The sequence below is a fragment of the Homo sapiens genome, chromosome 11 (assembly GCF_000001405.40).
Source record: "Homo sapiens chromosome 11, GRCh38.p14 Primary Assembly".
NCBI lineage: Eukaryota > Metazoa > Chordata > Mammalia > Primates > Hominidae > Homo > Homo sapiens.
Genome location: NC_000011.10, coordinates 67,980,411 through 68,006,543, shown reverse-complemented (window position 1 = coordinate 68,006,543; position 26,133 = coordinate 67,980,411). Strand labels below are relative to the sequence as shown.

At 54.8% G+C, this 26,133-nt stretch overlaps 1 protein-coding gene across 3 annotated transcripts, besides 14 other annotated features; it reads left to right on the top strand.

Moving 5' to 3' along the window:
* Positions 1,404 to 1,946: an enhancer, noted in NCBI's record as "H3K4me1 hESC enhancer chr11:67772068-67772610 (GRCh37/hg19 assembly coordinates)". NCBI's record gives its function as "activates a minimal SCP1, AML or CMV promoter by ChIP-STARR-seq in naive H9 embryonic stem cells {active_cell/tissue: H9 hESC(naive)}" and the evidence as "EXISTENCE:reporter gene assay evidence [ECO:0000049][PMID:30033119]".
* Positions 1,947 to 2,490: an enhancer, noted in NCBI's record as "H3K4me1 hESC enhancer chr11:67771524-67772067 (GRCh37/hg19 assembly coordinates)". NCBI's record gives its function as "activates a minimal SCP1, AML or CMV promoter by ChIP-STARR-seq in naive H9 embryonic stem cells {active_cell/tissue: H9 hESC(naive)}" and the evidence as "EXISTENCE:reporter gene assay evidence [ECO:0000049][PMID:30033119]".
* Positions 1,947 to 2,624: a biological region, named in NCBI's record as "H3K4me1 hESC enhancer GRCh37_chr11:67771524-67772067".
* Positions 2,325 to 2,624: a silencer, noted in NCBI's record as "silent region_3654". NCBI's record gives its function as "represses an Ori minimal core promoter by ATAC-STARR-seq in GM12878 lymphoblastoid cells {active_cell/tissue: GM12878}" and the evidence as "EXISTENCE:reporter gene assay evidence [ECO:0000049][PMID:35858748]".
* On the top strand, positions 2,447 to 15,444 carry UNC93B1 (unc-93B1 regulator of TLR signaling). Of its 3 annotated transcripts, NM_030930.4 has the most exons (11): positions 2,447 to 2,596; positions 2,746 to 2,887; positions 3,369 to 3,522; positions 6,864 to 7,025; positions 7,239 to 7,371; positions 8,092 to 8,185; positions 8,745 to 8,869; positions 9,760 to 9,942; positions 10,660 to 10,933; positions 12,750 to 12,868; positions 14,687 to 15,444. In NM_030930.4, the coding sequence occupies exons 1-11, from the start codon at positions 2,501 to 2,503 to the stop codon at positions 14,996 to 14,998; spliced, it is 1,794 nt and encodes a 597-aa protein (NP_112192.2). In that variant the 5' UTR covers positions 2,447 to 2,500; the 3' UTR covers positions 14,999 to 15,444. The 3 variants fall into 3 exon arrangements, with proteins under 3 accessions (NP_112192.2, XP_011543592.1, XP_011543593.1); XM_011545290.1 differs by lacking the exons at positions 2,447 to 2,596; positions 2,746 to 2,887 and having other exon boundaries at positions 3,440 to 3,524; positions 6,865 to 7,025; XM_011545291.3 differs by lacking the exons at positions 2,447 to 2,596; positions 2,746 to 2,887; positions 3,369 to 3,522 and having other exon boundaries at positions 6,952 to 7,025; positions 7,169 to 7,371.
* Positions 2,685 to 3,094: a silencer, noted in NCBI's record as "silent region_3653". NCBI's record gives its function as "represses an Ori minimal core promoter by ATAC-STARR-seq in GM12878 lymphoblastoid cells {active_cell/tissue: GM12878}" and the evidence as "EXISTENCE:reporter gene assay evidence [ECO:0000049][PMID:35858748]".
* Positions 3,395 to 3,444: an enhancer, noted in NCBI's record as "active region_5128". NCBI's record gives its function as "activates an Ori minimal core promoter by ATAC-STARR-seq in GM12878 lymphoblastoid cells {active_cell/tissue: GM12878}" and the evidence as "EXISTENCE:reporter gene assay evidence [ECO:0000049][PMID:35858748]".
* Positions 3,545 to 3,594: an enhancer, noted in NCBI's record as "active region_5127". NCBI's record gives its function as "activates an Ori minimal core promoter by ATAC-STARR-seq in GM12878 lymphoblastoid cells {active_cell/tissue: GM12878}" and the evidence as "EXISTENCE:reporter gene assay evidence [ECO:0000049][PMID:35858748]".
* Positions 3,695 to 3,894: an enhancer, noted in NCBI's record as "active region_5126". NCBI's record gives its function as "activates an Ori minimal core promoter by ATAC-STARR-seq in GM12878 lymphoblastoid cells {active_cell/tissue: GM12878}" and the evidence as "EXISTENCE:reporter gene assay evidence [ECO:0000049][PMID:35858748]".
* Positions 8,250 to 8,924: an enhancer, noted in NCBI's record as "H3K27ac-H3K4me1 hESC enhancer chr11:67765091-67765764 (GRCh37/hg19 assembly coordinates)". NCBI's record gives its function as "activates a minimal SCP1, AML or CMV promoter by ChIP-STARR-seq in naive H9 embryonic stem cells {active_cell/tissue: H9 hESC(naive)}" and the evidence as "EXISTENCE:reporter gene assay evidence [ECO:0000049][PMID:30033119]".
* Positions 8,925 to 9,599: an enhancer, noted in NCBI's record as "H3K27ac-H3K4me1 hESC enhancer chr11:67764416-67765090 (GRCh37/hg19 assembly coordinates)". NCBI's record gives its function as "activates a minimal SCP1, AML or CMV promoter by ChIP-STARR-seq in naive H9 embryonic stem cells {active_cell/tissue: H9 hESC(naive)}" and the evidence as "EXISTENCE:reporter gene assay evidence [ECO:0000049][PMID:30033119]".
* Positions 9,292 to 9,586: a silencer, noted in NCBI's record as "tiled region #11646; HepG2 Repressive DNase matched - State 18:Pol2". NCBI's record gives its function as "represses a minimal TATA promoter and a strong SV40 promoter by Sharpr-MPRA in HepG2 cells {active_cell/tissue: HepG2}" and the evidence as "EXISTENCE:reporter gene assay evidence [ECO:0000049][PMID:27701403]".
* Positions 9,292 to 9,586: an enhancer, noted in NCBI's record as "tiled region #11646; K562 Activating non-DNase unmatched - State 5:Enh". NCBI's record gives its function as "activates a minimal TATA promoter and a strong SV40 promoter by Sharpr-MPRA in K562 cells {active_cell/tissue: K562}" and the evidence as "EXISTENCE:reporter gene assay evidence [ECO:0000049][PMID:27701403]".
* Positions 12,530 to 12,629: a silencer, noted in NCBI's record as "silent region_3652". NCBI's record gives its function as "represses an Ori minimal core promoter by ATAC-STARR-seq in GM12878 lymphoblastoid cells {active_cell/tissue: GM12878}" and the evidence as "EXISTENCE:reporter gene assay evidence [ECO:0000049][PMID:35858748]".
* Positions 14,707 to 15,312: an enhancer, noted in NCBI's record as "H3K4me1 hESC enhancer chr11:67758703-67759308 (GRCh37/hg19 assembly coordinates)". NCBI's record gives its function as "activates a minimal SCP1, AML or CMV promoter by ChIP-STARR-seq in naive and primed H9 embryonic stem cells {active_cell/tissue: H9 hESC(naive and primed)}" and the evidence as "EXISTENCE:reporter gene assay evidence [ECO:0000049][PMID:30033119]".

The window sequence follows — 26,133 nt, the reverse complement described above, 5'->3', positions numbered from 1 at the left end:
CAGCACGCTCCTGTGTCAGTGCAATGCGGGGCAACAATATTCCAAGAGGTTGTTTCAGGGAGTTCCAGTTGAGAGCAATATTTATTCTCTTCTGCTTGCTTTTCTGCAAGGAACATCGATTATTTTCATAATGAGAACTGAAAGTAAAGGCTTATTATAGAGAAAAGCATTGGCAAACAGTGAGCACGGGGGGATCTGGCCACCCCTTCCTGGGGATGTGACTGTGCACTGTTGCAACCTGGATGGGTTGGTGGAGGTGCTGGCCCTGCTCAGATCTCTGTCCCGCAGGTCACCCTGGTGTGTTTATCTGGGCCACCCTATCAGCCTCTTAGATAGTCTCCAGGCTCCCCAAGAGCAGCTCCATAAACCACCTAAAAAAAAAAATCCTTTCTGGAGAGAGGAGGTGTATCAGTCAGGGTTTAGTGCCTCCAGGGCTGTTTTTTGTTTTTTTTGTTTTTTGTTTGTTTGTTTGTTTGAGAGGTCTCACTCTGTCACCCACGCTGGAATGCAGTGGCACAATCTCAGCTCACTGCAGCCTCATCCTCCTGGGCTCAAGCAATTCTCCCACCTCAGCCTCCTGAGTAGCTGGGGCTACAGGTGTCCACCATCACACCAGGCTAGTTTTTGTATTTTTTGTAGAGATGGGTTGGGGGGGGGGGTTTGTCTCACTTTGTTGAGGCTGGTCTTGAACTCCTGAGCTCAAGTGATCCTCCTTGGCCAGCCAAAGTGCTGGGATTGCAGGCGTGAGCCACAGCGCCCGACCCTCTCCAGGTGTTTTGAGTAGGAGACATTGAGTGCAGGGAATTGGTGGTACAGCACAGGTGATGGAAGAGCCCAGGATGGGCAACCATAGCAACCGCCACAACCCCCAGGCCCAGAGGAACAAGGGGAGGAAGAGATTGCACCAGGCCCCAGAAGTTTGGGGTCCCTCAGGGAAATTGAGAAGCTCGGGGGGCCCACTCCCAGCACTTTGGGGGCTAAGGCGGGTACATCACTTGAGGTCAGGAGTTCGAGACCAGCCTGGGCCAATATGGTGAAACCCCATCTCTACTAAAAATACAAAAATCAGCTGGGTGTAGGGGCACACGCCTGTAATTCCAGCTACTCACAAGGCTGAGTCAGGAGAATTGCACTTTCTCATCATACTGTGTAATGATGCTGGTGTCTGCCATCTGAGAACGGCCCCCGCCATAGCCATACTCTCCCACCTCCTCCCTGCCCCTGCGCCTCGGGCCCTGCCCTCTCTTCGGCTCCTTTCCTGTCTCCCACTTCCAGCCACCCACCTGCATGAATCCACCTGTCTGTTCCCCACATCTGCACTTGGGCATCGTCACCTGGAGAAAGTTCTACCTCCTGGAAGCCTGAAGCCACTGCAGATTCACGCCTCCCCCCACCTTCCCAGCAATCCTTGCGGGGTGGGAGGTGTTTGTCATCCAGTCACTCATGCACCCATCCAGTCACAAGTATTGATCACTCAGTAGGTGCCCAATGCCATCCTCTGCATTTGGGAGAGGATGTACCTAAAGAGCAGTGGGTGGAGGGGGGTGCACAGGGAGGGCATGGAAAACCAGAAGGGAAGTGAAGGGACTGCATTCTCTGCAGGGATGGTCTCTTGTTCTGAGAGCTGAGTGGGAAGGAAGCCACCTGGGAGGCGCAGCAGGAAGAGCATTCAAACCAGAAGGAACCCAGGGGAGAGAATCTGGATATTTTCAAAAGTGGCCCCGTGGCTCCAGCCAGGTCGGTGGTAGCCAGTGCTTTGGAGTGTCGGCCCCACCACAGGCTCCCGCTGCAGCCCGGGATCCAGTGCCCAGCAGGATGGGGGCAGGTGGCTCTGGGCCCCACTACATGGTTGTGGCAGGGTCCCCCATGTAGTTCAGTGGGGATCACAATCTCCACCTCCCAGGACCCACTCAAGCTCCCATTTGCACAGCCCAAACTGGAGCAGGATGGGGACATGGGAGGTGGGCTCTGGCTGTAGCGTCCGGTGGTGGGAGGTGGGGTCCAGGTGGTGACGCTACTGTCCCTGCAGTGCTCTTTGATGAGCTGTAACAGCAGGCTTGGAGGTGGGGCTGGGGACGACCCAGGCAACCCTGAGGGGAGCTTAAGGGAGCCAGGCAACCCTGGCACTTTTCCAAGGCTTTGCATTAACTCAATAGTTCCGCCATGGCCCCGGGGGTAGTGCCATGTATTTCTGTTTTACCGTCGAGGAAACGGAGGAAACCGAGGCACAAAGAAATGGAGTTAATTCCTAAAGTCACAGGGCCAGGAGGTGGCTGAGTGGGGATTCGAACTCACACCCCAGAGGGCACACACAGGCAGGCCCCTGCACACACGCGCGCGCGCGCGCGCACACACACATACACACACACGTGTCCTGGAGGAGGCGGCCCGCAGGGCGGGACAGGGCGGGGCGGGGGCAGGTCCCGGCCGCCGGGAGGAAGTGGCCGGGCGGTCGCAGGGACTCCGGGGCGACCGCCGCGAGTCCGCAGTAGTTCGGGCCATGGAGGCGGAGCCGCCGCTCTACCCGATGGCGGGGGCTGCGGGGCCGCAGGGCGACGAGGACCTGCTCGGGGTCCCGGACGGGCCCGAGGCCCCGGTGAGCGGGGACCCGGAGTGCGAGGCGCGGGCGTCCCCTGTGGGCCAGGGTCCCCCCGGCGGGGGCGGGGCGGGCCGGGGGGCGGCGGGCACCGGGGGACACGGGTTCGGGGCGCGATCGCGGGTGCGAGCGGCGTGCGTGGCTCGCAGCTGGACGAGCTGGTGGGCGCGTACCCCAACTACAACGAGGAGGAGGAGGAGCGCCGCTACTACCGCCGCAAGCGCCTGGGCGTGCTCAAGAACGTGCTGGCTGCCAGCGCCGGGGGCATGCTCACCTACGGCGTCTACCTGGGTAGGTGCCGCTCGGGGACCCGGGGCCGCCCCGCCCGCTCCCAGCCCGGCCCGGGAAACAGAAACCGCGGGCCGCCGCCTCCCGCCCGCTCTCACTTCCCCTCCGCTGCCCTCGCAGCTGCAGCCACGGCCCCCCGCGGCGGGGGTGGGGTTGGGGGGTCAAGTAGCGCAGCGTCCCCGGGTCCCAGCCAGAGCCTCGGTGTGGGTGGGGGACGGGGGTCCGGGCTCCCGGACAGACCTGCCACCGTCAGAATTGGAGGCCGGCGGAGCAAGGCGGGTGGGGGTCTGGGCTTAGCTGGCCAAGTGGCCGCGGGCTGGCAGAAGGCGTGGCGCAGCCCGGGAACCCCGCTGTCCTGAGGGGCGCTGTCAGCGGGAATGCCTTCGGTGATTGGAGCTCCCTGCGAGGCCTGCATGCCGTCTTCTGCTCGGTGGCGCCCAAAGCTAGGCTGCTCCCTGCACGCCGCTCTCTGTCCTGTCCCCAGGCCTCCTGCAGATGCAGCTGATCCTGCACTACGACGAGACCTACCGCGAGGTGAAGTATGGCAACATGGGGCTGCCCGACATCGACAGCAAAATGCTGATGGGCATCAACGTGACTCCCATCGCCGCCCTGCTCTACACACCTGTGCTCATCAGGTGGGCGCGGCTGCTCCTGTGGGATGCTGCGGTACTCCCATTTCGGAGGGGTACAGAGGCCGGCGGGCCAGGAGGTGTCCATCTGCCGGGGTGTTTGTGGGGCGAGGGAACAAGGGAGAGGTTTTTTTCTACCCGGAAGCCTGAGAGTGAAGGGGGTGAAACTCGGATTTGGGGAAGGAAACAGGAACTTTGCCTCAGGGCACATTTGGTTTCCAGCAACAGATTCACACGGGCTGAGCTCCCTCCCAGCTTGCCTGGGCCTCACGTGGCACCCTCCTCGTGGCCTCCTTGGAGGCCTCCCAGAGCCACTGTGGCCTTCAGGGTTGGGGCTGTAGAGTTAGGGGTTTCTGATCGGTCAGCAAAGTCCAGGCACCCATGCCTGGCCCAGTCGCTGTGACTGGTGCTGAGGGGGTGTTTCTCACAGACAGGCATGGCTGGGCAGGTGCCCCAGAGCTCTCCCCCAGATCTGAGCCCTGGAGGTATGTGGTTCAGCCTCCCCATCACCGGTCCACAGTGCCCTCCCTGATGGGACCTGGAGACCAGTGGACAAATTAGGTGAATTTGAGCTCCCTCATCTTTAAAACAAACAAACAAACAAAACAACAAGAGAAAACTCCATTTAAACAAAAATTTGAAAATTTAAAACATCTCCCGTTGCACAGGCAGGATTAGAATAACTGAAATCATAAAAAAGAAACCCCATCTAAGCCCTCCAGGAAATCGGCTACCCATGCTGTCCCACCAGCATGCATGGATTACATTCACATCCTTGTCCCCAGAGCACGTGTGTGGACGTGCCCGTGTGTGTGTGTGTGTGTGTGTGTGTGTGTGTGTGTATGCAAGCGGGCTATGTTTGCTTTTGCTTGCTTACTTTTTTTTTTTTGAGACAGATACTTGCTCTGTCACCTAGACTGCAGTGCAGTGGTGTGATCTCGGCTCACTGCAACCTCTGCCTCCCAGGCTCAAGCGATTCTCCTACTTCAGCACCCTGAGTAGCTGGGATTACAGGCGCCTGCCACCCGGTTAATTTTTGTACTTTTAGTAGAGATGGGGTTTCACTATGTTGACCAGGCTGGTCTTAAACTCCTGACCTCAAGTGATTCTCCTGCCTTGGCCTCCCAAAGTGCTGGGATTACAGGCATGAGCCACAGTGCCCAGAGCTTGCTTCCTTCTTTTCACTGAGCATATCTTAGCCTACTCTACAGCCTTCACAGTTACGACTTTGCAATGGTAGCATCTTCTGCAGATACGGTGGCACTGAACAGTGGCTTGGAATTGGACACTGCAGTTCCTTCTGTGCTTACATCTGTTTCCTTGTTTTTTTTTTTTAAATTATGTGTTTATTTATTTTATTATTATTATTATTTGAGACAGAGTCTCACTCTGTCACCCAGGTTAGAGTGCAGTGGCACGAACACAGCTCACTGCCTCCTCAACCCCCACACACTGGGCTCAAGCAATCCTCCCACCTCAGCCTCCCGAGTAGCTGGGCCTACAGGCGCACGCCATCACATCTGGCTGATTTTTAAAGTATTTGTAGCGATGGGGAGTTGCTATGTTGCTCAGGCCAGTCTCAAATTCACCCGCCCCAGCCCCACAAAGTGTTGGGATTACAGGTGTGAGCCACCACATCCAGCACTCCCCCAATTTTTTAAACAATTATTTTTCCTAGGATACATTTTCAACAATGTCTTTACTAGGTCCAAGCCATACAAAAGGCTTTATGGCTTTTGAAACCTATCACTTCTACTAATAGCAGTGAACTCTTGTCTCCTGTCTGCCCGACACTCTATTTTATTTATTTATTTTTATTTTTACTTTTTTTTTGAAATGGAGTCTCACTCTATCACCAGGCTGGAGTGCAATGGCACAATCTCGGCTCACTCCAACCTCTGCCTCCCAGGTTCAAGCGATTTTCCTGCCTCAGCCTCCTGAGTAGCTGGGATTACAGGCGCCCGCCACCACGCTCAGCTAATTTTTTGTATTTTTAGTAAAGACGGGGTTTCACCATGTTGGCCAGGCTGGTCTCAAACTTCTGACCTCAGGTGATCTGCCCACCTCCACCTCCTAAAGTGCTGGGATTACAGGCACGAGCCACCACGCCCGGCCGTGCTGGGCACTTTATAAGCGCAATTTCATTCCCAATAATTTGAGGAAGCTGCTCCAGTCTTAGACATGAAGAAACCATGGTGTTAAACAACTTGCCCAGGTCCCACAGGCAGTAACTGGCAGACTGAAGGCTTGAACCCCAGTAGAGGGACTCAAATCCACATGTTCACCCCCTGCCAAAACTACCAGGCTGCTTTCCCAAAGGGTTATGCCAGTGTGTGTGACCACTGGCTATATGTGCCACTTTTTTTTTGAGCAATCTTGCTGTTGCCCAGGCTGGAGTGCGGTGACGCGATCTCAGCTCACGGCAACCTCCACCTCCTGGGTTCAAGCGATTCTCCTGCCTCAGCCTCCCAAGTAGATGGGATTACAGGTGTGCACCACCACACCCGGCTAATTTTTGTATTTTTAGTAGAGGTGGGGTTTCACCATGTTGGCCAGGCTGGTCTCAAACTTCTGACCTCAGGTGATCTGCCCACCTCCACCTCCTAAAGTGCTGGAATTACAGATGTGAGCCACTGTGCCTGGCCTATATGTGCCACTTTCAAACCACATCCTCACCAGCAGTGAATGCACATTTTTACTGGCATTTTTACTTAAGGAGCATAAATACAGAAAACTTGAAGATACCAGTAGTGGTTTTTGGCCTGATCAGCCTCCATGGGTGGTTGAGCCCTCATCCTGTCACTCACCAAGCCCCTTCTATTGTCACTGTGTGACCTTTTCCCAGACCCAGAGAGGTGGAAACTTCCTGACTGACCACCATGGTTCATAAAAGCAATGGACTGGAGGCAGGGGTGCCGGGACTCTGGCTCTGCTGCTCCCAGCAGTGGGGCCTCTTCCTTTCTCTTCTCCCAGCCTGAGTCAAGCCCCTGGGCCCTACAGACACAGTGCATGAGCTTGGGAGGAGAAGGGGGAATGGGAGAATCAGAGAGCCCAGAACACGCATGAGGGCTGGTTACACCCATGGGTCACTCTCCATCCTCACAGTGGTGATGAGAGGCCTGTGGTTTGGGCTCCGTGCCCATATTACAGCTGGGAAAACTGAGGCACAGTAGCTTGCCTGAGGCCACTCAGCAAGTCTGTGTATCTGATATTCCATCTCAGTGCCCTCGACTCTCTCTACCTCACAAAGCCCTGTGAGCTGGGACCTGCGGTTGTGGCCCCGTTTGGCTTCAGGCCACAGTGGTCCAGCAGGCCTGTGGTGCCAGCATCTCTCCCACTGTCCGCAGGTTTTTTGGAACGAAGTGGATGATGTTCCTCGCTGTGGGCATCTACGCCCTCTTTGTCTCCACCAACTACTGGGAGCGCTACTACACGCTTGTGCCCTCGGCTGTGGCCCTGGGCATGGCCATCGTGCCTCTTTGGGCTTCCATGGGCAACTACATCACCAGGTGAGCCTGGTGGGCAGCAGGGCAGGAGGCTGGAGACCTGGCCAAGCCTCCACTTTATTGCCAACTTTGGCTGGGGGACCACAGGAAGCCCCTTCCGCCCTCTGGGCCTCAGTTTCCCCACACCGGGGCTGGTCTGCTCCTAGCTCTGGGTGCAGGACACACAGGAGTGGCACAGGTCGGGCTGGGGAGAGCCTTCTCTCCTTTGTGGTCCAGGATGGCGCAGAAGTACCATGAGTACTCCCACTACAAGGAGCAGGATGGGCAGGGGATGAAGCAGCGGCCTCCGCGGGGCTCCCACGCGCCCTATCTCCTGGTCTTCCAAGCCATCTTCTACAGCTTCTTCCATGTGAGTGCCACGTGGGCCATTGTTGGGTGGCAGGGGCAGACCCACGCATTGGAGCCCATCCACAGTCTCAACCCTCTAGTCCCACTTTCTTTCTTTTATTATTGTTATTTTTAAGAGGCCTGGTCTCACTATGTTGCCCAGATGGCTTTGAACTCCTGGGCTCCAGTGATCCTCCCACCTTGGCCTCCCAAGTAGCTGGGACTACATGCGCACACCACTGTATCTGCCCCACCTTCATTTCTTTTTCTTTCTTTCTTTTTTTTTTGGTGGGGGTTGGGGGCAGGGTCTTGCACTGTTGCCCAGGCTGGAGTGCAGTAGTGCAGTCACAGCTCACTGCAACCTTGAACTGCTGGGCTCAAGTGATCCTCCTACCTCAGCCTTCTGAGTAGCTGGCATCATATGCGTGTGCTACCACACCCAGCTAATTTTTTATTTTTTGTAGAGATAGGATCTTACTATGTTGCCCAGGCTGCCCATCTTCCTTTCTTGAGCCCACCCCAGCTTGCTCATCCATAGAGATAGAGATCTCATCTGCCCTTTTCCACAATGCTGGCCAGGAGGAGGTCTTCCTCATTGGGCGGCCCTGTAACCACACTACTCCCAGAACTGGGAAGGCCCCTGTTCCCCCAAGGCTGTGCCTGGACCCCTCCCCAGACCATGCCTGTGTCCCTTGCCTGGCTCTGTGCCTGAGTCTGGTCCCAACTGCCCTTGTTTCTGCAGCTGAGCTTCGCCTGCGCCCAGCTGCCCATGATTTATTTCCTGAACCACTACCTGTATGACCTGAACCACACGCTGTACAATGTGCAGAGCTGCGGTTAGTCCTTGTTGGGGGTTGGGGAGGAGTCCACAAAGCCTGCTTACTTCCCCAGCAGACACTGGGCCCTCACTCACAGGATTCAGGGCTGGCAGCCCAGTGCCCCACGGCTCTGGTGGGCAAGACACAGGGCCCTGTAGGAGTAAGTAGTTAGGACATCTGACCCAGCCAGGAGAGTGGGTGGGCGGGGAAGACTGCCTGGAGAAGGCACCATCTGGGCTGAGGCTGCCAGTGGGATCTTTCTTGGGGCCAGGCAAACAGTCAGAGCTCAATCAGTGCAGGGGGTGTGCATGGAAATGTGAGGTCCACTGAGCCTTGGGGAAATAGGGTGGGAAGCAGGGGAAAGATGCCCCTTTCCCGGGGAACACCCAGCCCCAGTGGTCCAAACCCAGCCCCAGTGGTCCAAACCTCCAAACTGCTCTCTGAAGGAACTCTGCCCTTGCTCTCACTCTCCCGCCCTCCACCGCTCCTCCGCGGCCTGCGTGGCTCCACCCTGGTGGCTGGATTGACTGTGTGCCCTACTCTCTGCTCACGGTGCCCTCACCCCCACCCTTCCCAGGCACCAACAGCCACGGGATCCTCAGCGGCTTCAACAAGACGGTTCTGCGGACGCTCCCGCGGAGCGGAAACCTCATTGTGGTGGAGAGCGTGCTCATGGCAGTGGCCTTCCTGGCCATGCTGCTGGTGCGGCCCGGGATGGGGGCAGGACAGTCAGTGAAGCAGAGTGTGGTTCTGGGGACCGAGTCTGCGAGAAAGGGTCTGGATCGGATGGCATGGCCTGGGTCGGGTTGTGGCCTCGGGGCAGGCCGTAGGCCTGGGAGCGCGATCTGAGTTGGGGAGCTAGGGCCGAGTGCTGCAGAGCGGGCATGAGGCTCGGAGGCGGGGCTGAGGCCTGTGGTCCGAGGCAGGCGTGGGCATCCAGAGGCCAGGGGAAGGAGGGAACAGGCTTGGTCCACAGTTTCGAGCTGGAGACAAGATCTTAGAAGACTGACTGAGACCTGTGAGGGGGTTGGGGACAGGACCAAGGGTGAGGGCTGGAAGGTGTGGCTCAAACTGGAAGTGATACTGGACGGCAGAACTAAGGCGTTGGCATGCTGCAGCCTGGCGATGGAGCTGGGAGGCAAGGCCCAGTCCGTGGCTGTGTCAGGCGGGGCCTAGTGCTGGGACGCGGGGCCGAAGTCTGTGGGTGTGTCCGAGGGGCGGGGACTAGCCTGGAAGGCGGGGCTGAGGTCTGGCGCGGGGCTGAGAAGGAAGGTTGAAGTCTATGGATTTGTCTGAATGTGAGTTGTGAAGTGTGTGTATGTGAGAGAGAGGGGATGGGGCCTTGGGCTGGGAGGCAAGACCACCGTCTTTCGGAGTGTGGTGGCGTGGCTTTGTGCTGAGAGGCGGGGCCTTGAGCTGGGATAAGGCAAGACCTGGGTCTGTGGGAGTGTCTCAGGGGCGGGGCCCTGGTTTGGGAGGCGGGGCCGAGCTGGGGCAAGGCCCAGGCACGTGGTGCATCTGAAGGGCGGGGCTGAAGCCTGGAGGCCAGGCCTGGGCCTGGCTGGCCGCCCCTTCAAGTAATGGGTTCGCAGGTGCTGGGTTTGTGCGGAGCCGCTTACCGGCCCACGGAGGAGATCGATCTGCGCAGCGTGGGCTGGGGCAACATCTTCCAGCTGCCCTTCAAGCACGTGCGTGACTACCGCCTGCGCCACCTCGTGCCTTTCTTTATCTACAGCGGCTTCGAGGTGCTCTTTGCCTGCACTGGTATCGCCTTGGTAAGTACAGCCTGCAAAGGATTGCCCGACAAAAGACAAGATAGCCAGGTAAATTTGAATTCAAGTAAACAAAGAATAATTTTTAATTACATATGTAAGTGTGTACATGTATATCCCAAATATCCCCCTCCTGCTTTCTCTTCCCTCTCTTACCCCCGTCCCCCCTTTACCTTGGGCAAGTTATTTTAACTTCTCTGAATCGAAATGGGATAGCACCCACAGAGTGTTTAGTTCCTTGTGGGGTACAGCCCACGGTGTCTAGGGACATTCCAAGCATTTTCACACCTGCCCTCAGAACCTTCCCCTGAGCCTTGGAGCGAGGTCAGGCAGTCCAGGGAGGGCAGGGTGTGGCCTAAGGAACACCTCTTGTGGGGAGTAAGAGCCAGCCCTTCTCCCCACCTGGCTCTTACTCCCCGTATCGCGGGGGGCCCCTCTCCCCACCCTGGCTCTTAGGACCCCCATCGCAGGGGGGTAAGGCACCCCCCCGCGATGCGGGGAGTAAGAGCCAACCCCTCTTTTCCCCCCGACTCTTAGGACCCCCATCGCAGGGGGGTGAGGCACCCCCCACGATGCGGGGAGTAAGAGCCAGACCCTCTTCCCCCCTGGCTCTTAGGACCCCCATCGCAGGGGGGTGAGGCACCCCCGCGATGCGGGGAGGGCTGAGACTGTGGTCTGGGCTGTTCCAGACTTCAACACTCACCCCTTGTCCCCCCGCAGGGCTATGGCGTGTGCTCGGTGGGGCTGGAGCGGCTGGCTTACCTCCTCGTGGCTTACAGCCTGGGCGCCTCAGCCGCCTCACTCCTGGGCCTGCTGGGCCTGTGGCTGCCACGCCCGGTGCCCCTGGTGGCCGGAGCAGGGGTGCACCTGCTGCTCACCTTCATCCTCTTTTTCTGGGCCCCTGTGCCTCGGGTCCTGCAACACAGCTGGATCCTCTATGTGGCAGCTGCCCTTTGGGGTGTGGGCAGTGCCCTGAACAAGACTGGACTCAGCAGTGAGTATAGCTGTGGGCACTGGGGGGGGGGGGGCGGGGCAGGGGGCTTTATGGCTATCTGTGGGTGGTTGGCGAGACATAGACATCCCAGGGACAGATATGGGGTCCCATGGTCACATAGGGTCCTGTGGACATGGCAGAGGCAGGTGGGGCTTCCTGTGGACACTCCGGGGGTGGAAGGGAAGTCTTATGGACACACTGGGGACAGATGGGTAGGGTGTGGACACCCTGGAGACAGGTATGGGGGTTCCATGCCATGGACATTCTGTTAATACCCCAGAGCGGGCACAGGGCCCCATCAACACTGGAGGGTCAGTGTGAAGTCTCGTGGCTACATGGGGCAGGTGTGGGGCTCTGTGGACACCCCTTAGGGACAGTGTGAAAAACACATCAGGGATTCTCCCTTTTCATACCAGGGGACAGGGCTTACCCTGGCATAGTTTTCATGACACTTGGAGCAGATGTTTTGGTCTCTGCTTCACGGAGCATGTGGTAGGAGCAAGTGGCCTGTTGTACACCCATGGCATAGATACAGACATGGGCCTTTGTATAGAGAGGAGCAGGCCTGCAGCCCCAACCCAGTCTGCTCAGTACCAGAGTCCAGGCCCCAGGTCTGGGCTGCTGGGGAACAGGGCCCTGTTTGCAGAAGGCAGCGGGTGGGCCCATGTTCAGCTCCAGGATGCTCCCTGACCACAGATGGGCACACGCAGTGAAACACAGCTAGCACACATGGGCAGTCCTGCCGGGCATCCATGTCAGTGTCTGTTCTGATGGGCCGAAGCTGTGAACAGTTTTGAACGTCATCCTTGGGGGTGTGGAGTAGCCGAGGTCATGCCTGCTGCTGGCAGGGCGGAGGCTGGCTCTGTGTCTCTGTCTGTAGCAGGGGCTGGAGCCTCATACTGCACCACAGTCTCTTGGCCGTTTTGCCCAAGGATAGCCAATTCTGGGCAGAGTCCAGCCTGGGTATCTTGAACCCATGTTGTGCCCTGTCTGGTCCTGGCATCCCCTCTGCCCAGCTCCATATCCCATCTCCTCCGGTGAACCCCGGGGGGTCCTTGTCTCTTCATAGCAGCACTGTGGGGGTAAAGTCACCCTGCAGGGCCCCAAAACAGGAGTGTTCATATCCTGAGTGCCTGGTGAAGGTGTTAATAGTGGCCCCTATGATTTGGCAGGTGCCATGCCCACTTTCTCACTTTAGAACTTCAGAACACAGCACACAATAGGCATAAGCTCATCTCACCATTGGGAAAAGCAGCTCTGGGGAGTTAAGTACCCAAATCACCCACAGAGCCAACATTACAGCCCTGAGAACGAGCGTGCATCTTCTGACTCCCAATCCATTACTCTTGTTGCCCACCCTGGGAGGACTCACTGGAAAGGAATCCCCCCTCTCCATGCTTAGCTTCAGGTTTGATTTGCAGAGTTGGCAGCTGCAAACAGTTCGATCTCTCTAGTCCTGGCTGAGGAGGAGAAACAGCGCCTGCAAGCTTGGCACTGCACACCTGGGTTGGGGACAGGACATGACTAAGCACAGAGCTTTCTTCTTTTGAGGCCACGCATGTGGTGCGGAGCGGGAACACCTGCATCCACACAGCCCGAGGCACCTGCTCCTACTTCTGCTTAGCGTGTGAGCAGTGTGGTGACCAGGGTCTCCACCAGGGGGCAGGCCAGGACCGCCTCACAGCACTTTCTAGGCGCTCTCTGGTCCGGGGCTGGGACCCATACAGGGCTTAGTAAAGTTCGTAGATGGTAGCTCGGTAGCCCCAGGCCCCAGGTGACACCTCTCCCCTGCCTGCCCTGTACTGCCTGCCTGCAGCACTCCTGGGAATCTTGTACGAAGACAAGGAGAGACAGGACTTCATCTTCACCATCTACCACTGGTGGCAGGCTGTGGCCATCTTCACCGTGTACCTGGGCTCGAGCCTGCACATGAAGGTGAGACTGGGCAGGGTTGGGGGCCCCATGCCCAATGACAGGTACTTCCTTAGCCCCTGCCCTGGCTTCACAGCTTCCTAAATGCCACCCCTTCCCAAGCCAGTCTCTGGGCCAAGGCCCCATTCCTGCAGCCCACTGGGTGGCCCCCAACTCAGCACCCCACTTACTGGCCCACCTCCAGCCAGTCTCAGTTTGCCCATCTCTGAGGGGATTTGTGGGTGCATCACAGCCATCCTGTGGGCTGTTTGGTACCTTGTTCTCCAGATGTTGGGTCTGTCTCTCTTCATGGCCTGAAGGGGAGCAGGCTCCTCATGCTCTGCTCACAAAAAATGGTGGCTCGGTCTAGCAAGTCCCAGTTGCTAAACATTTTTTAAAAATAGAACTAAAGGCCGGGCGCGGTGGCTCACGCCTGTAATCCCAGCACTTTGGGAGGCCGAGGCGAGTGGATTGCCTGAGGTAGGGAGTTTGAGACCAGCCTGACCGACATGGTGAAACCTCGTCTCTACTAAAAATACAAAAATTAGCCGGGCGTGGTGGCAGGTGCCTGTAATCACAGCTACTCAGGAGGCTGAGGCAGGAGAATCACTTGAACTGGGAGGCGGAGGTTGCAGTTAGCCGAGACGGGGCGTTGGCACTCCATCCAGCCTAAGCAACAAGAGCGAAACTCCGTCTCAAAATAAAAATAAAAATAGAACTAAAAATAGCAGGGAGTGGGCTGGCAGTAGTGGCTCACGCCTGTAATCCCAGCATTTTGAGACGCTGAGGTGGGGGTTCTGAGATCTGGAGTTCGAGACCAGCCTGGGTAACAGGCTGTGAAACTCTGTCTCTACTAAAAACACAAAAATTAGCTGGGCATGGTGGCACGTCCCTGTGATCCCAGCTACTCTGGAGGCTGAGGCACAAGAATGGCTTGAACCTGGGAGATGGAGGTTGCAGTGAGCCAAGATCGCGCCACCGCACTTCAGCCTGGAGGACAGAGCGAGACTCTGTCTTCCAAAAAAAAAAAAAAGGAAAAAAAAAAAAGAAAAGCAGTGAGTGGGCTGGGCATGGTGGCTCACGCCTGTAATCCCAACACTTTGGGAGGCTGAGGCAGGAGGATTGCTTGAGGCCAGGAGTTCAAGACCAGCCTGGGCAACATAGGAGACCCTGTCTCTACAAAAAATTTAAAAAATAGCTGGGCGTAGTGGCGTGTGCCTGTAGTTCCAGCTACTTGGGAGACTGAAGTGGGAGGATGGCTTGAGCCTGGAAGATTGAGGCTGAAGTGAGCGTGCCACTGCGCTCCAGCAGTGGGTGGGGGAAGGGAGGGAGGGGGCGCGGTGGGGAAACGGAGCGACCGTGTCTGGAAAAAAGAAAAGAGCAGGAAGTATGCATACAGATATGTGTGTATGTACTGGGCTATGGTGTGAAATCATTCCTGACTGCGGGTTATAGTCAAAACCCCATGAAAAGCATCACTACAGCCCACGGGTGTGTCAGGGACACAGTGTTGTGAGCCCTGGGAAGGCAGGGCCTGTGGCCAGCACTTTATCAACACTGGCGCATGCACCCTATGAGGCAAAGGGATTTGCATTGTCCCCTTACAGTGTGGGACACTGAGGTCGCCAGGGGCGTGGCGACTGTAAGGGACAGTGCTGGATGTGAGCCTCGCCTGCAGGAGGCGGTCCAGGAAGCATGGGTGGAGGGGCTGGAGAAGTTGAGGGCCGCGTGGCCCGGGAGGCTCCCGGAGGAGGGAAGGGCCTATCTCAGCGAGGGGCATAGGCGGGGAAGGTGCGGGGCGAGGCGGCCGCGGGTCCCTGGCATCCCTCTCCTTACGCCCAGGCTAAGCTGGCGGTGCTGCTGGTGACGCTGGTGGCGGCCGCGGTCTCCTACCTGCGGATGGAGCAGAAGCTGCGCCGGGGCGTGGCCCCGCGCCAGCCCCGCATCCCGCGGCCCCAGCACAAGGTGCGCGGTTACCGCTACTTGGAGGAGGACAACTCGGACGAGAGCGACGCGGAGGGCGAGCATGGGGACGGCGCGGAGGAGGAGGCGCCGCCCGCAGGGCCCAGGCCTGGCCCCGAGCCCGCTGGACTCGGCCGCCGGCCCTGCCCGTACGAACAGGCGCAGGGGGGAGACGGGCCGGAGGAGCAGTGAGGGGCCGCCTGGTCCCCGGACTCAGCCTCCCTCCTCGCCGGCCTCAGTTTACCACGTCTGAGGTCGGGGGGACCCCCTCCGAGTCCCGCGCTGTCTTCAAAGGCCCCTGTCTCCCCTCCCCCACGTTGGGGACGCCCCTCCCAGAGCCCAGGTCACCTCCGGGCTTCCGCAGCCCCCTCCAAGGCGGAGTGGAGCCTTGGGAACCCCTCGGCCAAGCACAGGGGTTCGAAAATACAGCTGAAACCCCGCGGGCCCTTAGCACGCGCCCCAGCGCCGGAGCACGGTCAGGGTCTTCTTGCGACCCGGCCCGCTCCAGATCCCCACAGCTCTCGGCCGCGGACCCGGGCCGCGTGTGAGCGCACTTTGCACCTCCTATCCCCAGGGTCCGCCGAGAGCCACGATTTTTTACAGAAAATGAGCAATAAAGAGATTTTGTACTGTCCTGACTGGGGAGTCCCAGGCCGCGGGGGACGGATGCACGGATGCCCTGGGATGCACGCACGGCTGGCCCGGCCTCTGGGCGCAGTGGTGACAGGCCCTGACCTAGGGGGACCGCGTGGTGTGGGGAGTGCCGCGCCCTACTGGGGGCGGGGCGAGGTGTCCGTAGGCCCCGCCCACCAGCCCTTCCTCCCTCCTGAGGCCCCGCCCCCCCATACCTGCCTGCCTTTGCCAGCCCCAGCCAGGAGAAGGGAGCGGCGGAGCGGCTGGCAGAGACAGAGGAGGGTGTGACGGCGTTGCTGGTCCCCCATGGGTCCAGAGGGCGAGACAGACTCCCGAGACACACCCTCCAGAGGCCTGTGTAGGCATCCTCCGCCCTCCAGCGACCACCCCCGCGTCGGACAGGGTCCACTTCCGAGCCACGGTGGGGTCACCCTGTGCCCAGTAGGGGCCTTGGAAGTGGTGGTTGGAGGCCAGGTACGCTCGGTGACTACCCTTTCCCGGCTACAGCCTCAGCTGCGATGCCCACGAGAAACAGGCTGGTGGAGGGGCAGACCCCCTACAAGGCCTGAAGGTGCCGTTCCTCCACCCGCTCCTCTTGTGGCCAGAGGAGAGGACACCCCCGCCATGAAGAGCTCTGAACGGTTGGGTGAGGACAAGTGGGGGCCGTGGGAGGGCCATGGAGCCCCCAGCTGCACCCCAGCAGGCCCGGGGCTGGCCCACACCATTCCTCACTCCCCACAGCCTCTTTACCCCTGACTTTGGCGAGACCCTCGTCCGTACCTCCAGGCTCCATGCCTGCCTCAGCATCGCTCTATGGATTCTCCCAGCCCTAAACTGGCCCCATCTCTCCTCTCTGCCCTCATGTGAGTTTGGTTCTTGAAGCCTCTAGTGGTCCCTGGGGCCAGACTCTGTGGCCTTGGACAGGGAGTCTGCCATCTGAGCCACAGGTTCCTTCTCTGTTGAGTGTGTGAGGGAACATGTTGGAGCCCTTAGTGTGGCGGCAGCAAGCGCACCAGGCCCTGTAAGAAACACAAAAGGGTGCGGCGGGAGACTTGACATTTTCTAAATCTGGGAGGGAACGCTGCCTGCCTCACGCCGACCTTCAGTGACAAGCAGACTCAGAAGCGGTCCCGAGGTGCCACCATAACCTGGGTGAAGGCCAGCACTGTGTGCTTCCAGTTCCCCCTCGGCATCTGTAGACTGAGTGTTCTCTGGAGGTGGCTGGCGACATCCTCTAGGCAGGCTCCAGCAAAACCAGTCGGAGTTGGGCAACCTGACGCTCAGATGATTCACCTCTGAATGGAGGGCAAGGTGATATTTGGAAGGGTGTGGGCCCCTGGGATGCTGGGCAAACGGGGAGCAGGTGCCTGGATAGTGGGCCTACAGCTCTTCCCAGTTCCGAGTCAATTCCAATGTCCATGGTGCCAAGGAACAGAGGCTGTGATGTTGAGCAGACTTGAAGGTGATCCAGGCACATGGAGTGGCCACTCAGGGGCTTGGCTCCTGGCTGTGCTCTTCCTATCTGGGCATTTCCCATGAGAAGGCTTCACAGGCCACCTGGCTGCTCCTGGCACACGGAGAATGCCCAGATGCTGACATGTGCCAGACAACACATATTTACACCTGATAGGCCACACACATGCAACATGCAAACACACGTGACGGGTAACACCTGTGACAGACACTACATGACAACACACATGCACACATGATGGGAAACACATATCACAGGCTGTGCGACGGGCAACACAGCGCAGGCAGTGCGACGGGCCCTGGCAGCAAGCTCAGCAGGCTGGCTCTTTTCGAGCAGGAGAAGAGCTCATTGTAAGAGATGACACTGGCGTAGGTGGCACCTCCCCTGTCTCCATCACCCCCGGATAAGGTGACTGGGTGGAGGTTCTGGACCCCTGAGTGGATAAGCAGGTTGTGTCATGGCCTCCGTGTCTGATTGCCACCCTCGCTCCCAAAGCAACTCTGTGATTTTGTCGATCTGCACTGTGGGGATTTTTCTTTTTCTTTCTCTTTTCTTTTCTTTTCTTTTTTTTTTTTTTTTTGCAACGGAGTTTCACTCTTGTTGCCCAGGCTGGAGTGCAATGGCATGATCTCAGCTCACTGCAACCTCCATCTCCTGGGTTCCAGCGATTCTCCTACCTCAGCTTCCCGAGTAGCGGGGATTACAGGCGCCCACCACCAAGCCAGGCAATTTTTTTTTTGTATTTTTAGTAGAGACGAAGTTTCACCATGTTGGCCAACCTGGTCTCAAACTCCTGACCTCAGGTGATCCACCTGCCTCGGCATCCCAAAGTGCTGGGATTATAGACGTGAGCCATCACGCCCAGCTGGGATTTTTCAATTATGTGATTCCAAGAATCTCCAGTCCAAGATTTTCCCTATCTTTAAGTTCTCAGTAGCAGGTTAGATAACCTGAGAAGTCTCCCTCTTCAAAACACCTAGAAATGCTGGGTAAGAAACAAATGTCCTTTTAACTATAGAGCTGAGGCCGGGCGTGGTGGCTCACGCCTGTAATTCCAGCACTTTGGGAGGCTGAGGCAGGCGGATCACCTGAGGCCAGGAGTTCAAGACCAGCCTGGCCAATGGTGAAACCCCATCTCTACTAAAAATACAAAAATCAGCCAGGAGTGGTGGCAGGCGCTTGTAATCTCAGCTACTTAGGAGGCTGAAGCAGGAGAATCGCTTAAACCCGGAAGGCAGAAGTTGCAGTGAGCCAAGATCACGCCATTACACTCTAGCCTGGGCAAAAGAGTGAAACTCCATCTCAAAAAATATATAAATAAAATAAAATAAATATATAGCTGAGTTCTTCAGAAAATAAGTTAAGTCCCCTAAGGCCAGAAGTGAAGAGGAGAGTGAGAACCAAGGTGGGGACAGAGGAGCTGGTGCTGCAACTGCCTGAGGGCAGGGCTGGGTTGAGCGTTGGTATCCCTTACAAGGCAGGGGGTTAGGGTTACAGTCAAGCATGATGAAGTTGGGGCCACAGAAATGCAACACCTTTAGAGAAAGGGACAGAAACATTTCCACCCAGGGGAACAGAGAGAGGTGAGAAATTTTGAGCTTTAGGTGGTGAACAAGTTTCCCATGAGATCGTTGCGTTTTCAGGCCTCTCTTATGTAAATGTGGAACTCCTACAATAAAGTCATGCCACCTGTGTGGTCTAGGAATGCCAGAGTTGAGAAATTAACACTAAAAAGTTGCTTTGGGCCGGGAGTGGTGGCTCACGCCTGTAATCCCAGCACTTCAGGAGGCTGAGGCAGGTGAATCACCTGAGGTCAGGAGTTCGAGACCAGCCTGGCCAACATGGTGAAACCCCGTCTCCACTAAAAATACAAAAAATTAGCCAAGCCTCGTGTGCCTGTAATCCCAGCTACTCTGGAGGCTGAGGCAGGAGAATAGCTTGAACCTGGGAGGCAGAGGTTGCAGTGAGCTGAGACTGCGCCACTGCACTCCAGCCTGGGCAACAAGAGGGAAACTCTGTCTCAAAAATAAAAGTTGCCTTGGCTTAGTGGTACCCTGGGACCACTAAAGCCCCTCTGAAGCTCAGCTCACGATCCAAAATTACAGAACACACAGGAAACACATCACCGCGAGAAAAGGCAACAGACATAAAAAAGAGCAGGATTCGACACCCGCTCCAAATACCCCCAGCTAGGAGAGAGAAGCTGTCCAACAGGTATGTGAGATAGGCAGCATCTATAAGGGCTGCCAGCGATCTCCCACCCTTGACTCTTCACAACTTTGTGTAATTTCCATCCCTTGATTGTGGGCTGGACCTAGTGAGTTTCTTTTAACCAACTGAATTCTTATTTTACTATTTTATTTTATTTTATTTTATTTTATTTTATTTTATTTTATTTTATTTTATTTTATTTTACTTAGAGATAGAGTGGCACTGTGTTGTCCATGCTAGGCTGAAACTCCTGGCCTCAAGCAGTCTTCCTGCCTCGGCCTCCCAAAGTGCCAGGATTATAAAGCATGAGCCACTGTGCTCAGCAGCCTTCGCATTTATTTATTTTTGAGACTCGCTGTATCGCCTAGGCTGGAGTGCAAAGGCACAATCTCGGCTCACTGCAACCTCCACCTCCCAGGTTCAAGCGATTCTCCTGCCTCAGGCTTCCAAGTAGCTGAGATTACAGGCGCCTACCACCACGCCTGGCTAATTTTTGTATTTTTAGTAGAGACTGGGTTTCACCATGTTGGCCAGGCTGGTCTCGAACTCCTGGCCTCAGGTGATCTGCCCGCCTTGGCCTCCCAAAGTGCTGGGATTACAGGCGTGAGCCACTGAACCTGGCTAACCAACTGAATGCTAAACTGGCCTGAGAGATTCTCACTCCCTGGTGTCCACACCCCGCTAATGCCCTCCTGTGAGTGAATGTGATGGGCTACAGTACTTTTGAGCTAATCAAATGGGACGCTACCTAATGGACCTGAACCAGTCAGGCAAGTCTTTTAAAAGAAAGGGACATGGCAGAGAGGCGCTCTTCTGCAGGCTTGGAGTAGGGCAAGTGGCCATGGTGCCACCTACAAGGGGGCCCCTGGAAGCCGAGAGTGGTCCCCAATGGCAGCTTACAAGAAAACAGGGACCTCAGTGCCCCAACGTAGGGAACAGCCCCTCTCCCCCCCTGGCTCTTAGGACCCCCATCACAGGGGGGTGAGGCACCCCCTGCGATGCGGGGAGTAAGAGCTAGCCCCTCTTCCCCCCCTGGGTTTTAGGATCCGCGGTGGACTCACAGCCTGTTTACCTTATTTTGAGCAACACCATCTCCCCCTCTGGAGATTATGAACTGTTTCACAGATGGGTGTATACCCTCAGTGTACAGAGGGTGTACACCTTTCTGTATTGGGAGTAATATCATCCTCTTCCTCCATGAATATTAAGAAGAGTATCACAGGGGTGTTTCCACTCCCTCGGATATCGCGTGTCATATCCTCCTGTCCCACGTTGCAATTAGAAACAATATCAGTGGGGGCGTGTCCACCTTCTGTGATATTGAAAGTAATATCATCCTCTTCCCTCCAGGATCATGGGAACAATATCCCTGGGGGGTGTTCACTTTCTGCCATATATGTAGTCATATCACCCCCTCCGCCTTGGAATATTATGAAGGACCATCTCACACAGGGGTGTATACTTCCTGCGATATTGGGAGTAATATCAACCTCTCGGCCTCTGAATATTAGGAAGAATATCACAGGGTGGGTGTACACCTCCTGCTCTATTATGGGGAGTAATATCATCCTCTCCCTTTCAGGATATTAATAACAATTTCACAGGCTGGGTGAACACAGCCTGCGTTGCTGGAATTATTATCACCCTCTCCCCCTCGGGATACTAGGAACAATATCACAGAAGAGGTGTACACTCCCTGCGATATTGGGAGTAATATCATACGCTTCTTCCGTGAATATTAGGAGCAATATCACCGGGTGGCTGTACATTGATTGCTATGTTGGCAGTCATGTCATACTCTACAAGCTGGGTATTAGGATCGGTGTCACAGGGTGAGTGTACACCTACTGTGATATGAAAACTAATATCATGCTCTCCATCCCTGGATATTAGGAACATTATCACAAGTAGATGTACACCCCCTGCGGTATTAGCAGTAATAATATTCTGAATTATTAAACATCAGTCTTATTAATAATTATCAATGGTAATATTAATTAACAGTATAACGTTATTAATCATTAATGATTATTTTTGAGATATGATTATGCATGATTAAAATTAATTATTAATATTAATGTCACTTTTAATATTAGTTATTAATCTTAATATTAATTATTGTTTTATTACCAACATCACTTATGATTGAAGTAACATTAATTAGTGATATCATTATTTTATTATTAATACTGAAATTGCTATTAATTATAAATAGTAACCGTTAATATTTTTCATCCGTACTGTTTTACTGTCTCTACAGTAATTATTAATATTGATGATTACTATTAATTGTTATTATATTTGTAATATTAATAATCAATAGAACTGTTCCCGATATCCGTGGGGGGAGGATATTACTCCCAATATCGCAGAAAGTGTACACCCCTCTATGATGTGACTCCTAATAGCCAGGGGGTAGAGGATGACATTATTGAAAATAGCGCAGTGGGCGTACATCCCTTCGGTCATCTTGTTCCTAATATCCTGGGTGGGAGCGGATGATATGACTCCCAATATCGCAGGGGGCGGAGACCTCCCCCGAGATACTGTCCCTAACATCCAAAGGTGGAGATGATGATATTTCTTCCAATTTCGCCGGGGGTGCACACCACCCTTGTGATATTGATCCTAATATCCAGGCGGCGAGAGGATGATATTAGTCTGAATATTGCAGGATGTGTACACTCCCTAGGGATATTGTTCCTAATATCCAGGGACGGAGAGGATGATATCACTCCCAATATAGCCGCGGGTGTACACCCCTTGTGTGACATTGCTCCTAAAAGGCAGCGGGGGAGAGGAAGATATTATAGCCAATATCGCAGGGGGTGTACACCCCCTTGTAACATTCTTCCTTCTATCCTGGGAGGGAGAGGAAGATACTAGCGGCAATGTCGCAGGAGCTGTACACACCCACTGTGATACTGTTCCGAATATCCGGAGGGGGAGAAAATGATGTTACTTCCAATATCGCAGGGGGTGTACATCCTCCTGTGATATTGTTTCTTATATTCAGGGGGAGAGGATGATATTACTCCCAATATCGCAGGGGTTGTACACACCTCCTGGGATACGGGGAGTAAGAGCCAGCCACTCTCTCCCCCGGCTCTTAGGAGACCCATCGCAGGGGGGTGAGGCCCCCCACCCGGGGTACGGGGAGTAAGAGCCAGCCCCTATCCCCCGCTGGCTCTTAGGACCCCCATCGCAAGGGGGTGAGGCCCCCGTGATGCGGGGAGTCATATCACCCCCCTCTGGATATGACGATTCACTTCGCAGCGGGGCGGGCGCCCCCCGCGATGCGGGGAGTCACATCACCCCCCCCTCCCCGCCTGGATATGACGATCCACATCGCAGGGGGGCGGGCGCCCCCCGCGATGCGGGGAGTCATATCACCCCCCTCTCCCCCCCGGATATGACGATCCACGGTGGTCACACAGTGTGTTCACGTTATTGTCAGTAATATCTTCTCCGCCTCTGGAAATTACTAACTATGTCACAGACGGGTGCACATCCTCTGCGCTCTTTGGAGTAATAGCATCCTCTTTCCCCTTGATATTAAGAACAATATCACAGGAGTGTTTTTACCCCAGGGGCATTCCGTGTAGTATCATCCTCTCCCACGTTGAAATTAGGAACAATATCACTGGGGGCGTGTCCACCCTGTGCGATATTGAAAGTAACATCATCCTCTTCTGTCCTGGATCATGGGCACCATATCACTGGGGTCGTGTACACTTTCTGCAGTATTGGGAGTAAGATCATCCTCTCCGCTTGGAATATTAAGGACCATATTACAGCGGGGCTGTACACACCGTGTGCTATGAAGAAGAGTATTATCCTCCCCTGCCCTGCACATTGGAAAAAATATCACAGAGTGGGTGTGCACCTCCTGCGATGGGGGGGTGATATCATCTTCTCTTCTTCTGGATAATAGCAACAATAGTACACGGGTTTGTACACTTTCTGTGATATTGGGAGTAATATCAACCTCTCCACCTTTGAATATTAAGAACAATATCACAGACAGGATGTACACCCCCTGCGATACTGGGAGTCATATCAGCCTCTCCTCTCCGTGGATATTAGGAATAATATCCCAGGATGGGTGTACGCCTCCTGCTGTATGGGGAGTCATATCGTCCTCTCACTTCCTGGCTGCTAGGAACAATATCAGAGGGTGGGTGTACACAGCCTGCGATATTGCGAGTAATATCACCCTCTCCCCTCCGGATATTAGGAACAATGTCACAGAAGGGGTGTACACTTCCTGAGATACTGGGAGTAATAGCATTCTCTTCTTCCGGGAATATTAGGAGGAATATCACCGGGTGGATGCACACCCACTGCTATCTTGGGAGTAACGTCATACGCCACCCCCTGGAGATGATATTCGGATAAATATCACCGGGTGGGTGTACTCCTACTGCGATATTGAAAGTCATATCATGCTCTCTCCCTCCCTGGACATTAGGAACAATATCACAGGTGGGTGTACACCCACTGAGGTATTAGGGATAATATTCGTATTAATTCTTCCTCATTTATTATTAACATGAATATGTATTACTAATATTAATATTAAGAAATCATTGCTAAAAAAGTGTTCAGATTATTAAAATTAATGTTAATTATTAGGAGTTAATATGACAGTTTTCTAATGAATAAGATCAATATCACTAAGACCAGGCGTCATTAATCATTAACATTCATCATTTGTTGTTATTGTGAGTATAGCTCTTTAATATGAATTATCATTATTATAGGTATTGATTTTAAGAATTATATGATCAGTTATTAATATTGATAATTATCAGTATCAATTAATAATTGATATTATTAATTGCGGTAAGTAACATTGCGCCATTCCACCCCTCCCTTGGCAGCTCGTTTACGACCCAAAACGGGGATCCAAATGCCCCTGAGAGAGCAGCGGTATACTGGGAGAGAGGAGGATGGTCACGTGGTGGAGAGGCGTGTTTTTGTGTAAAAGCCCTTCACCTCTGCCGACCTTCTCAACTGGGAAAACAATACCCCGTCCTAGAGCGAAAAGCCGCAAGCCCTAATAGATTTGCTCCAAACTGTTATCCAGACCCACAACCCCACCTGGGCTGATCGCCACCGGTTGCTCATGTTCCTCTTTAAGAGAGGTGAAAGGCGAAAGGCGGAGAGGGCTCCACGCAGCAACTAAGTGGCTAGAGGAACATGCACCAGCTGATTATCAAAACCCCCAAGAGTATGGAAGGACCTAGTTACCAGGAACCCACCCCCAGTTGGACCCACATGAAAGAGAGGATATGCAAAGGCTAAACCGAGACAGGGAAGCTCTCTTGGAAGGATTCAAGAGGGGAGCTCAGAAGGCCACAAATATTAATAAGGTCTCTGAAGTCATTCAGGGAAAAGAAGAAAGTCCAGCACAATTCTACCAGAGACTGTGTGAGGCCTATGGTATGTATACTCCCCTTGATCCCGATAACCCTGAAAATCAGCGCATGATTCAAATGGCTTTAGTCCGTCAAAGTGCGGAAGACGTTAGAAGAAAACTGCAGAAGCAGGCTGGGCTTGCAGGGAGGAATACATCACATTGATGAGAAATAGCTAAGCAGGTGTTTGTAAACAGGGATACAGTAAGCCACGAGGGAAAGCGCAAAGAGAATGGAGATCAGGCCCGGCAAAACGCCGACCTGTTTGTTAGCTGCAGCAATCAGAGCTGTCCCCCCAAAGAAGCAAGGGAAGGGGAGCCCTGGGAAAGAAACTCAGCTTGGCTGTCAGAGTTTGCAGCGTAACCAGAGTGCTTATTGTAAAGAAATAAGACATTGGAAGAACAAATGCCCTGAGCTCAAAAGAAAACAAGGTGACTCAGAGCAGGAGGCCCCGGACAAGGAGGAAGGGGCCCGGCTCAACCTGGCAAAAGGATTATTGGACTGAGGGAGACCAGGCTCAAGTGTCTCCAAAGAGCCTCTGGTTAGAATGAGAGTCGGGGGTAGAGACATTGACTTTCTTGTGGATAGCGGTGCTGAACATTCGCTAGTAACCGCTCCGGTCGCCCGTTATCCAGAAAGACCCTTGACATCACCGGAGCCATGGGGGTTTCAGCAAAGCAAGCTTTCTGCTTGCCTGGGACTTGCACTGTAGGAGGACATCAAGTGATTCATCAGTTTTTGTACATGCCTGACTGTCCCTTGCCCTTGTTGGGAAGGGACTTGCTTAGCAAGCTGAGAGCTGCTCTCTCTTTGACAGAACACAGCTCTTTGCTGCTAAAGTTACCCGCCACGGGAGTCATTATGACCTTATGGTCCCCCGAGAGGAGGAATGGAGACTTTTGTGAACTGAACCGGGCCAAGAGAGAAGACCAGCTCTGGCTAAGCAGAGGCCAAGAGTACGGGCAGAAGACAACCCTCCAGGGTTGGCTAGTTAAGACTGGGGCCCAGCCACTTAGGCAAAAACAGGACCTGGTCCCCAGAGAAGCTCTTCAAGGTATCCAGGTCCATCTTAAGCACCTAAGAACTTTTGGTATGATAGTTCCTTGTCAGTCTCCACAGAACACTCCCCTCCTGCCTGTTCCCAAGCCATGGACCAAGGATTACAGGCTGGGACAGGATTTGCGCTTGTTTAGTCAAGCTACCCTGACTTTACATCCAACAGTACCTAGCCCGTCCATGTTGTTGGGGTTGCTGCCAGCTGAGGACAGCTGGTTCACCTGCTTGGACCTGAGAGACGCTTTCTTTTCTATCAGATTAGCCCCTGAGAGGCAGAAGCTGTTTGCCTTTCAGTGGGAAGATCCGGAGTCAGGTGTCACTACTCAGTACACTTGGACCGGGCTTCCCCAAGGGTTCAAGAACTCCCCCACCATCTTTGGGGAGGCGTTGGCTTGAGACCTCCAGAAGTTTCCCACCAGAGACCTAGGCTGCGCATTGCTCCAGTAGGTTGATGAGCTTTTGCTGGGACACCTCATGGCAGTCGGGTGCACCAAGGGAACAGATTGCCCTACGCCGACACCTGGAGGACTGTG